This window comes from Homo sapiens, chromosome 13 (assembly GCF_000001405.40).
Source record: "Homo sapiens chromosome 13, GRCh38.p14 Primary Assembly".
Classification (NCBI taxonomy): Eukaryota; Metazoa; Chordata; class Mammalia; order Primates; family Hominidae; genus Homo; species Homo sapiens.
Window position 1 is genome coordinate 68,657,521 of NC_000013.11, and position 13,423 is coordinate 68,670,943.

Genomic DNA, 13,423 nt, shown 5'->3' on the forward strand with positions numbered 1-13,423 from the left:
GTGTATAATTTTGCCAACTGTTTTAAACATTTGATTTAATCTTTTATTTTAAATGAAATAACTACAAGTTGTTTAGTATTCTAGTGCTGTACACTGGCTACTTTTTTGAAATACTCGAAAAAGCTTTTCACTCTGGAATCAATTTTTAAATTGCCATTAAAATTTTTCCTTTCTTTTCACCTAGTGCCTTATCATGGTGAAAGTGTAGAGAGGGAAGAAGCATATCAAAGACCAAATGACCTTGTTCATAGAATTGGTTTTTCTAATCTCCAAGGTGTAACCCCTTGCTTAAACTCACAACTTTCTTCTTTCTCATATAAACAATTGATTTATTTTTTTCTATAAAACATATCTAAAAACACATATTCAATGATCAAAGCTCCTCACTTTGAAAATATTCTTCGTTTTTATTCCAGGTTATCTAATATTTATGGTGATTTCTTACCTATATTATGTCTACCTTTGGGGAAAATATCAGAATTTATTTGATGAACTAAAAGTTTACTGATGATTGATTATATGAACATTTAGTAAAATTGTGGCATTTTATCAATTTTATGTACTACCTCTAAGCAAGGTATTTATGTTTCTTGAAAATGAAAAAAATCATAATTCTTAAAAGCACCTTCAGCATCGTTGTTGGCTTATATCACATTTAGTAATAATATTAATATTTTTAAAAGCATACTTATAAAGTGTTGTTTTTTAGAATGAATGTCAGACTATATCCATATGCACTCTTTTGTTTGTATGCCATGATATTTTAATTCTTACTACTTTGCTTGTGCCTATGTTTTTTCCATAGACATAACTGGGTACTTCAGAGTCTGATGGAAGGACTCTTTTGTTTGTATTAATGCTTGTATTCCACAGGTAGATGTGATAATATGTGACAATTTTACACTCACCTTTCTTATTAAAAGTACAATACTTTACTATATTTGACCCAATTATTTAATATTACATATTGCTTCCATGTGACAAAAATATTTTGCAACTTTTTATCCTTAACTTCATCAATATCTCATATTACAGAGTATTTTACTCAACTTAAAAAATAATTTTGACTTTTCTTTCTGTTTGTTCTTAATCCTTTTTAAAGTGACGGCCAACTACCCAGCACTTTGGGAGGCTGAGGCGGGTGGATCACGAGGTCGGGAGATCCAGACCATCCTGGCTAACACGGTAAAACCCCGTCTCTACTAAAAGTACAAAAATTAGCCGGGCGTGGTGGCGGGCACCTGTAGTCCCAGCTACTCGGGAGGCTGAGGCAGGAGAATGGCGGAGGCGGAGCTTGCAGTGAGCCGAGATCGCGCCACTGCACTCCAGCCTGGGGGACAGAGCAAGACTCCGTCTCAAAAAAAAAAAAAAAAAAAAAAAAAAAAAAATAGTGAGACACTAATATTTCTTAAAGTACCCACAGGATATCTTTCTGATCTAAGAGGGACTTCTGCAGCTTTAAATGATAAACCTATTGACCGTTTTATCTTTAGAGTGTATTTCTTTGCATCATTTTACTTTCCTCCCTTCTTCCCCCAACAAATACACTGAAAATTATAATTAAGTAAATAATGTTCCTTTCAGAATCATCAAGTAGTGTGATTGAATGTGTAAAGAAAGAGATGTAATCCTATCACAAAATCTTTGCCAGGATCTCCTCCTCTCCAGCTTTCTGTCTTACCATTTTGTTGTCAATTGCAGTGCTCTTTCTGTTGTTTATTTTATTGTTATTCATACCAATCATCACTTTATCATGTACCTTAATTTACTTATTTGTTGTGAATATTGCTTATTTCCTGCCTGTATCAATGTGAGTGTAAGTGTCAAGGGGTTGCAATGCCTTAGTTGCTTTATTCATTTGTCTAGCATACAGATTGTGTTTTATGCTCAATATTTATTGAATTAATAAAAGCATTAGTGCTCCTTAAACCTTCATCAACTATGCCTCTGATGATCAACCCCATAATGTGCCTGTCATACCTATTCACGTATGAATTTAAAAATGAGCAATATTCAGTCTCAAGCTAGGGATCTATTAAACAATACAGAATTAGTTGTAGCTTAACTACCACACACATTAATTGAGTCAATTACAGACCAAACTGAACTAATAAAAATTTTTAAACTCATAGATAAATGCTGATACTTCAAAATAAAATTAGAGAGGAAAATGTTACTGTTATTTATGGAGCTTATATCAAATATGTAAACAAATTTTAAAAGTAATTAAAATTTAACCAAAAACAACAGGGTTTTATGGAGTACTGTGCTGGAGAAAGGGGAGTCCACTAAGAGGGAAGGTTGACACTCAATACCTCTCAGAGAGGGACATGTAATCAGGCAATTAAAATGGCATAGTGTAACCATTTGAGATCACATATGTAAGTAGGGCCAAGTTTATAATCTGTTATAGATCCTGGTAAAAAAAAATGTCGATATTATTCTAAGACTACAAGTAGCATAACCAGCACACTTAGCATCTGTTTTGTTTGTTTGTTTTTTCCACTCAAGAGAACTCTCTATTGAGCTCTTTCTTTGATTTTCCAGTTATAGAATACTAAGTATCTCTCATTCTCTTCAAACATGTGAATCTCAGTTTTACTCTCAGTTTTACCGACTCTCAATTCACGCAAAAAAATAGACATCAAAAGAAAAAAACACTTAAAATATTTCCACCATCCTAGGTTTAACATCTGGGTGACAAAATAATCTATATAGCAAACCCTCATGACACAAGTTTACTTATGTAATAAACCTGCTAAAGTACCCCTGAACTTAAAAATAAAACATAAAAAAAGGAAAAAAAAAGTGTTTCCACCCAAAATTACAAATAAAATGTGAATTTGCAGTTATTCATATAAAATAATATAGTTTACAATATTAACATAATGTTACAATAAATATTATGCCTATCCTTCGTATTTAATACACTCCTGGCCTTGCAGAGTTCTGCACTATGAACTATTTGTCCTCATTTTTCTAAATGTCATTTTTGGAAAAATCACATTATCACCTGTATGCTGAGCTAGTTATCTCAATTTAATCAATGCATCAGTTGTCATTCTCATTACAACCACTTTGAAGACTTTTAAATCAACCAATCATGAAAGCCTAACTCTCTCTTAGAAATCTTTTCAATTTTAGAATCCACGTTAGAACTTCCAATACTGTATTTTGGGACCTATGTATTACAAAGGAAAGCATGTAAATGTAAGTTGAATGAGCCCCATATATAGCTCAAGACTGCTACAATGGATATTTTGCATATTTCCTGAAATATCCATAGCAAATACTATTTTATTAGATGCTCAGGAGGTTCAGCTGAACAAACCACTTTCCATGAGACATTGCTCTTATATCTCTCTTTATCTTCATCTTAGAAGACACTTACCTTTTAAATATATCACACCATGGGGACAAATTGTGAGGGAAATACTTGCTTTTTTCTATTCCAGTTAATCCTGAAGAAACATCCCTCTATGTTTTCTTTGTTGTAAAATTTGAATATTTCTACTACTCTTCTTATATTATTATTCTATAAGGTATTTGCTGAGATACTTCTCACCACGTTTTATTGTGAGATCATGGAATGTGGAAGCTGGGTCTTAACTCATCTCCATATTCAGAGTACCTGTTGAGTGTTTGGTTCATGATGAACAAGTAAACATTGAACAACAGCATTTTAAACACATTATCTGAAATTATATTGCACAGTGTTAAGCCCAGCTTGCTTGGTCCATAATTACCCAGAAGCACTAAAAATGTCTTAATCCTCCAGCTTGTGAAATAATAGCTAATATTTTTGCATGCTTAAGTTTTATTCCATACATGCATCCTAGGAATTTTGTTAATTATATCTAACATGAATTGTGCATTTTATTGAAATACGTCGAATACATGTTGTTCATTTTGTTGAAATATATTAAAGGAATTATTATCAGAATATTCAGATGCCAACCAATCACAATAAAAGTTGTTGAGTTGACCTATTAACAGTTACTCAATCCATGTCTTTGTGGAACTTGTTGAACATCAACACTTCCATAAAGTATACATAATGATATAAAGAAAAAACTTATAGTTAATAGTATTTCTATTTAAATATTTCAGTCTTAATGACATTATATAATTCTACATGATATTGAAAATGGGGAAGTCATGAGTCTTTTCCAAAGTAGTTATACTCCCTTGCTGTCCTTGCTTAATCCAATGCATGCTAATTTTTTTTTTATTGTGGTAAAACACACATAGCATGGAATTTAGCATTTAAACATTTTAAGTGTACAATGCAGTAGTGTTAACTATATGCACATCATGTACAACAGACCTCCCAAAATTTTTCATCTTACAACACTGAGATTCTATAGCCATTGAAGAGTGAGTGCTATTTATTTTTAAAGGAGAACAATGTCATCTCAAAGGCCTGCATAGAAAATTGTTTTCTCCAATATTCAATTATTATGTTAGCAATAGTTATTTTTCATCTGGTACTATTAACCATCCCATATTATAGCAACAGGAATTAAGAACTGTCATTCAACATCAAAATGTGATTTCTTAGGACTTTTACTATTTAATAATTATTATGCTAAATAACTATTAATACTATAAGGTAAATAATAACTAACTATATATAGAAAATAAAAAGAAATTATTGTTAATGACTAGCAAGTAGTTAATAAATGTAATAACACTTTAAATATATTTGCTATAAAGTTTGTAAAATTTGATATTTAATTAAAGATAGATGCCTCTGGATGTCCAACAAGATAGTAAAGTTTTTAAAATTTTTTAAGGTATTCCCATTAAATATATTATTTTTTTTTAAAAAAGAGAATGTTTGCAAAACTGTATAGTCAAAGTGATACTTTTCTGCTAATTTTTATTGATGTCAGAAGAGATTATAGAAGGCATGAGTCCATTTTTAGGGGTAATCAGTGGATGGAATGAGCTCTATCAAGCTTTCATTTTTGGTCCAGGGATCTTGCAGTATAAAAACTGTGAAGAAAATGATGATATTTATAAAATCGTTATGAAATATTTACTGCCTGGAATAGTTTCCCTAAACAGATATATGAATACCAGAAAATATGTTTTGCAGATCCCAAATAACGGGATTGGCTTTCATTAAATGTACTACCAAAAAACAATCTACTTATCTTGTATAAAATAATTTTTAATGTTGAGACCAAAAATAAAAGTAATTATCATAGCTAGGTCAACTGTCATTATTTTTTCTGTGATAAACAATGTATATTCATATATTTCTCCTTATTTCACATACTTACATATTTCCATTTCAGTTAAATTAATTTAATGAGCAAACTAATATACTTTTATGCCCATAAATCAAGACATGAATATAAATGCCTGTAAATTCATACACATAAGTGTTTCTATACATGCAACAATAATGTATATATTATTTTAACATACAAAGTTGCATTAGTGTATATGTATGTGTATATAGTTAATATATATGATTTATATTCATATTATGTATGTTTATGCATATGCCACTATATAGCATCCCATAAATATATACAATTATTATTTGACAATTACCAATAAAATAAAATAAATATTTGTCAAAAAAGATATTCACTGGGTGATGTGTGTGTGTTTGTTATTATTACAACAAGAAAAGTACAGCGTAAATAATAAAGGATACATTGTGATGTCTGATTCCTAACTTTGATACTTCCTGTAGGGCCTTGGAAAAGGTATTATATCTATTTGTTGTTTCCATTTTCTCATCCAAAAAGATGAAGATGATAATAACGGCTTACCATAGTATTTGTTCTGAGAAGTAATTGAGCTATGCCGCATTAGTTCTTAGTAAACTGACTGCCAAATAAAACCTATTTAATACATACGTTTTTACTATTATTTTAGTCTTTTTCATATGTTGAATGTAATCAGTAATATCAATATTTGGCTTACATGATGCTTTAACTAAATAGTGTTTATATAATAAATAAGAATTTTTTGTTGCTTCTCATTAAATGAAACAATAAAACCATCTATTTCTAATTGGTTTACATTTTAAAAACTAAATAATATGTAGACAGTGTTAGAAATATTTATATGTACTAGCATATAATTTCCAAATCCTAATATCTCTTAGCAATATTTTCAAAACCTATACATTTTCTAAAATAGATAAGTATTTCTTTCTTCTAAAATGGCATGTTTACAAAATGTCATAATAGTTATTTATATTAGTATTCTATTAATGTCTTCTGCCATCACATAATTTTAACTATTCAAACTATTTAACTTAAGAACATAGAACTATATTTGTGTGTTTTTAAAATTTCTGCTTCTTTGTCTTAAAATCTATAAGACATAAATGTTTGAACTCTTTATAGGACATTTTATTATCTTCCAGATTTCTAATATATTTTATAATATTACTTGTTTAGCAACTTCAGGGAAATACAAAGGTAGTAATTAAACTTGTCATAAATTTAAGTGCATTGAGATCTTTCTATTGTTACTCCATCACGTAGGTGTATAAATGACAGTAACTTTTCTTACATGTAGTGACCATAAGAATTACAGAACCCTACAAGTTGTAGAATCAATGTGAAATGTTGGAACCAATGTCCCTTTGGGCCTAATTTTCCTTTCTACTTCCCCTTTCCCCTGACTTCATACCTACCCTAGACTATGACATTTACAAGGAACTTGTGAAAAGTGTCCAAATACCACAAACATAACACAAATAATGAGCTATATATACAGAAAGTTTTTACTTGTTTTGCAGGTGTCATGGGACTCTAGAAACATGGTCACATCGAAGTGAATATACTAAACCACTAGTTCATCATGCTGCATTGCACGAAGACAAGCATTTTAAGTCTATTGCTTTTCATCATTTAGATGTGCAGTCATTGTTGGTGGTATTGTCAAGAGATTAGCAAAAATAATTATGAGTGAGATCATTTTAATTTCTTCTTTCTTTCCATTTTCAGCTTTTCTTTGTAAAAATGGGTTAGCTTTGTGAGAAAATTAGTAAGAACCAGTAATGTGGATGCTACTACAGATGTTACCATTTGGCATGAAGGTTGAGGAGAGGCATGGCCACAGGATTGATAATGTGTGGGGTTGCCATAACAAAGTACCACAGACTGTGTAGCTCAGGAGGGCATAAATCCCAGATCAAGTTGTCAGTGGAGGTGGTTCTTTCAGAAGCCTCTATCCTTGGCTTGCAAGATGACCATCTTTTCCATGTGCCTTCACACAGTCTTCCCTCTGCGTGTGTCTACATCCTATTCTCCTCTTCTTATAAGGACCCCAGTCATATTGGAGGAGGGCCCTAACCTAATGACCCCATTTTAGCTTAATTAGCTCTTCAGAGGGATTGGATTTCCACACATGAATTTAGGGGGAGGCGGGTAGACACCTGTGAAAACCAACATTGGCTTATCCTCCTGTATGTAAGGCTGAAGTTAAATTACTCATTGAGCAAAACATTGCTACTTAGAGCAAAAAGATTTGAAAGGGTGCTTCACGACTAACAACCTGTGAGAGTGGGAAAACTAAGACTGAGTTTAGAAAGTCAGAAAGGGAGAAACTTTTAGTTTAATTCCAGGAATAGGAGCAGAAAGTAAAAACCCATTAGGAATTATACTATAAATTAAAAATATAAATACTGCAAGACTGACAGAAGAGTCTAGAGAAGATTACAAATACTTCACATTTTCTGTGAAATTATAACTAATTTTCAATTATTGTAATAAGGTAAATATAATCATAATAAATAAGCTTGAAATTTATATTTCATAACCTATAATTTAAGCTTTCAGAAAGGTTAATAAAGGACTTCTTTCAGAGTAGATAGAAAGTTCAGGATTCAGAGAATCCTTACAGAAGTCAAAAATACCTCAGAGAACAGTGGCTCCGGTGGTCACATAAGAACCAAGAGTACAGGGATAAGTAGCTTACACAATTGTTAGTTTATAAACTCCCCTCTGTTAAAACAAAAATAAGTCATCTGTCATACTTATCTTTAAATCTCCCATTGAGAAACGTGAACACTTATAAGCAATTCTCAATGTGGATAAAACAATTTTTGAACAGCAAAATGCCACAAAAGATTTATGAGACAATGGATTGTTTCTGATCCATCTTTTTATAATCAGTTGAAAATAACTAAAGGATTAAACAATTTAATAGAATGTGAATATCTGTAATGAAAATGGTAATAAATAAGAAAATTCATTGTTATAATATTATGTATATATAACTTAATTAGCATAATAGATGTGTTATACTGTATCACTCTTCTTTTCTAACGCTTTGTTGCAATAGTTTGAAACTGGTAAAAAGTAAGGACTCCAGAACTCTGTTGTCTAAGTTCCGCCCCCCGTCCATCACTTAAGAGCTATAAGAACTCAGTCATGTTACTCAGCCTCTGTGTTTTAGGTGTAAATGGAGGATATATTGGCAATAACTACTTCACAATGTTTTATGAAAATTATCTCTCTGTGATCTCAACACATTCTGCTCAAAGAAAAACTTGTTCATGTCCAAATTTAGCTATTTCCTCCAAGAATGTTCTTCTGGACCTAAAGTGTGACCTCCAAAGCTCAGTTAAGTGTACTCCTCTCTGTGGTCATCACAATATCATTTATCTTATAAGGCATTTATCAGATTAAATTGCAATTCCCTAGCAAACTGAGAGGTTGAGGAAAGCAAGTATTGTGGCTATGTGGAATAGTTTTCTATCTCCAGTGATTTGCACTGTCTGACACATGATAGGCAATCAATAAATATGTGCTGAATAATGTAATGAGTTTTTAAAATACATCTTTAAAGAATAACCTGGGAGCCTGAAGGAAACAATTCATTTTCCAGAATCAAATGATATATATATATGTATAAAGTATCTGAGGAGCAAGTTTTATTATTGTCTTTCCCTCAAGCTGGAGATATTAATAGCTATTTTATTATTCTACTAAAGAGAAAACTTCTTGGTCAGAGAAAATAATATCATTACAGAATTTGGTTTACTGACCGTGACTTGAAGATAAATAATGGAAGGGCGTTAACTAATTCAAATACAAATGCATTGTAAAGAAATATACCTGTAATTATATTCTAGAGATGCAATTGTCATTTATATTTATATGTAAATGGATAAGTAGGTTTAAAATAGAACTCTTGATTTTTGCCAATGTTGGTAACTATTGCAAATATTAAAAAAAAAAAAAGAAACCTGTCATTTAACTAGAATGTAACAAATACAGCCCCATGAATCAGAAACCTAGCCTACCACTTTGTTGCTAGTAGATACTGATCATGATTACCTCAGTGGCTTTTAAAATATTTTAATAGAGGCAATCATTTTTAAAAGACAATTTTTGTATATTTTGGAGCAGTTTTAGAGTCAAAGCAAAACTGAGCAGAAAGTATGGAGAGTTCTCATACACGTACTGCCCCCGTCACGCATGGATAGCCTCCCTGGATAGCAACATCTCTCACCAGAGTGGTACATTTGTTATAATCAACGAAGCTACGGTTGACATATCAGTATTATCCAAAGTTCATAGTTTACATGAGGATTCACTGTTGGTGTACATTCTCTGATTTTTTTTAACAAACGTGATAATATGTATCTACCATTAAACAGAATATTTTCTGTATGACTGCCCTAAAAATCCCCTGTGTTCAGCCTATTCATCTCTTCCTCCTGCAAACTCCTGGGAACTACATAATTTTTTACTGTGTGCATATTTTTGCACTTGACTGAGAGTCTTGCGTTTTTAACAGAGTTGAAATTTTTAATTTCAATGAAATTTGGCTTAACAATTATTATTATTTTTTTTTCGATACAGGGCCTCACTCTGTCGCCCAGACTTAAGTGCAGTGGCGTGATCTCCACTCACTGCAACCTCTGTCTCCTGGGTTCGAACCTCAAACTCCTGCATAGCTGGGATCACAGGCATGTGCCACCATGTCCAGCTAAATTTTGTATTTTATTAGAGATAGAGTTTATTAGAGACAGAGTTGTTGGACAGGCTGGTCTCAAACTCTGACCTCAAGTGATCCACCGCCTCAGCCTCCTAAAGTGCTGTGATTACAGACAAGAGCCACTGCACCTGGCCCTATTTCTTTCTTTTTAATTTTTTTTAATTTTAATTTTTGTGGGTAAATAATAGGTGTATATATTTATGGGATACATGAGATGTTTTGACACAGGCATGAAATGTGAAATAAACACAGCATGAAGAATGGAGTGTCCTTCCCCTTAAGCATTTATCCATTGAGCTACAAACAATCCAATTACAATCTTTATTTTAAAATGTACAGTTACTATTGACTATAATCATCCTGTTGTGCTATCAAATAATAGGTCTTATTTATTATTCCTATTTTTTGCACCTATTAATCATCCCCACCTCCCCTCACTCTCAGCCTTGTGTGACCAAATAACCCAAATATGTCATTTTGGACTTTAGGGAACCTAATATCCTGCTAAATCTTAAACACTGACAGCAATTAAGGTCTCGTCCTCAGGCACAGTAGAAGATGCCAATCAAAAGAAACTGCATTCCTGAGACAGGGGGCCAGCAATGAAAGCTATTCAACTCAAGGCTCAGGCACTATGGCAGAAGAGGTGGGCATGTGAGATTGTAAGAGCCGATATTGAGAGATAAAATAAGTTCAGTTTCTCTATAAATTAATCATTAATGTCAAAGGCATGCTTATATCAGACCAGCGTATGGGCCCCTTTGTCAGATTAACAAGACTTTCTTGAAGAATTAGCTAAATCCTTAATAGAGGTTATAAAGGTTATAAAAGGCTTATGGAAGTTTTATCTTATGGTAGAAATTAAAATTTATAGATTCTTTACAATTTCATTGGCTTCAGGCTGTTTTTGTTAAGGCTTATTGTTTGGAAAATTAAGTCTCCTCTCAAAGAATAAAGGTTTTTGCCTTTTTTTAAAAAAAAATCCTTGAGTTATCACTTTGGTTAAATGAATGACTTATTTTACAATGACCTGGGATCCTATTTTGTGATATCAAGTGTTTTAAACCTTTGATATTTGATAAACTTTCCAAAATCAAATTATAAATTATGTCTTTTTCTGAACTAATTAATTCTTTAAGATATTAGGTTCCCTAAACTCCAAAAATGATATATTTAATTTATTTTATATAAAAATTATACAGGAAGCATTGTCAAATAGGAAATTTTCTTTGTTTTTTGGAGGGCTGTATTTGTATAAATATGTTATTGGTATGTGTTTCAAAATTATGGAAAACTCCTGTAATTCTGATATGCCTTAGTGTACATTATCAGTAATAATTATGATTGCTATGTTAAATTATTGTGTGCCACAGATGTGAAAAATTTCCTTTTCAATGTGTCTTTCACTATGGCTGCCCTAAAACTTTTTGACATTCATGTACAATTGTATTGTTTTGGTCCTCTTCAGAAGGTGGTTTTATAATCACTTGTGAAACTCTGACAGGTGTTCTTGAATGCAGGTTTCTGATAACTTTGGAGATTGTGGCATCAGAATAGAGAAAATACTTTCAGGTGTCATGGGAGCTGAAATGTTCATTGATAAATGTTTCCTAGTGCCATATTGTGATAATTTCCTTTACTGATCTGCTTTCTGACACTATAGCTTACATTTTCAGTATTATTTTTATTTTATTTTATTTTATTTTATTTTATTTTATTTTATTTTATTTTATTTTAGTCAGAGAGTCTCACTGTGTCACCCAGGCTGGAGTGCAGTGGGTGATCTTGTCACTGCAACCTCCACCTCCCTGGTTCAAATGATTCTCCTGCCTCAGCCTCCTGAGTAGCTGGGAATACAGTCACAAGCCACCACACCTGGCTAATTTTTGTATTATTAGTAGAGACAGGGTTTCGCCATGTTGGCTAGGGTGGTCTCGAAACTCTGGACCTCAGATCATCCACCAGCCTCAGCCTCCCAAAGTGCTGGGATTACAGGTGTAAGCCACTATGCCTGGCCCCCCTTTTTAATATAAATTTATATAAATGATATTCTACAGTATTAATCTTTTTTTGTCCAGCTTCTGTCACCTATCATAAATATTTTCCAAATCATACATGTTGTTGCTGTGTAGTATTTCATTTTATGAATATATATTTGTTTCTTCATTAGCCTGTTTATTGTCATTTTGGCTTTATTTCCAGTTGTTACTATTAAAAAGATATGTTAATATTCATGTGCAGGTCATTGTAGTTGCATTTATTTCTCTAATAGGAGTGGAAAGACTAGGATATATTATAGGTAGGTGGTACAGATTGTTAAAAAAAACTGTCAAAATGTTTTAAAAGTCTTTGGAATATTTTATATTTCCATCAGCTGTATATGAAAGTTCCAATTCCTCAACATTCTCACTAATGCCTGATATGGTATTCAAATCATTTATTTATGTTAATTTTGCCTCATGTAATCTTATTGAACTCAGTTATTAGTTGGAGAAACTTTTTTATAGATTCCATTGCATTTCTGTGTATTAGACAATTAGATATTTCTATGTATTAGATAATTTCTCTGTATTAGATAATGTCAGTTCCATATAAAGATTCTTATTACTTCCTTCGCAATCTGAAGGCAATTTAGTTTTTTTCTTCCCCTATTGAATTGGCTAAAACTCAGTACAACATTAAACAGAAGTAGCAAAGAGAGATGTCATTGTCATACTCTTTAACTTTAAGGAAAAACATTCTCTTTCATCAATTAAGTAAGCTATTAACCTTAAGATTTTTGTATATTTCTTTTTATAGGGAGGTTACATTCCTTTTATACACAGCTTGTTCAACTCTCTTTTCTTTTTAGCTTGTTGATATGATGAGTTATATAGATTGATTTCAAATGTTAAAGCAAGCTTACATTACTGGAATAAATACCAAATATTCATTAAAAAATTTCAGTTTTTTGTTGGATTTTATTTGCTAAAATTTCATTTAAAATATTTACATATACACTCATGAGATAGATACTTTTTTGAAAATGGTGTCTTTGGTTTTCTTATAAGCATAATTTTGATTTCGTAGTAAGAACACCCAAAATCCATCGTTTTAATATTCTGATGGAGTTTGCACAGAATTGTTTTGTCTTTTATGTAGAAATTCAATTTTTAATAGACATAAAGCCACCTTACCTAATCTTAATTCTATGAATGTAATTAGTTTGTATCTTTAAATAAATTTAATATTTTTTTATTTTGTCTAAATGATAAAATGTATTTCCATAAATGTTTCCCAATATTTCTTCAACATCCTTTTAATATCTGGGGAAGTCTAGTGATACAAAATTTTATTTCTGCTAAGTTATTTATTCCTAATAAATTTAAACAGAAAATTATAACTTTTTAGATTTTTTTGAGGAAGTAACTTTTGGTTTTAACAACTTTTCTTTATTGATTTCTGC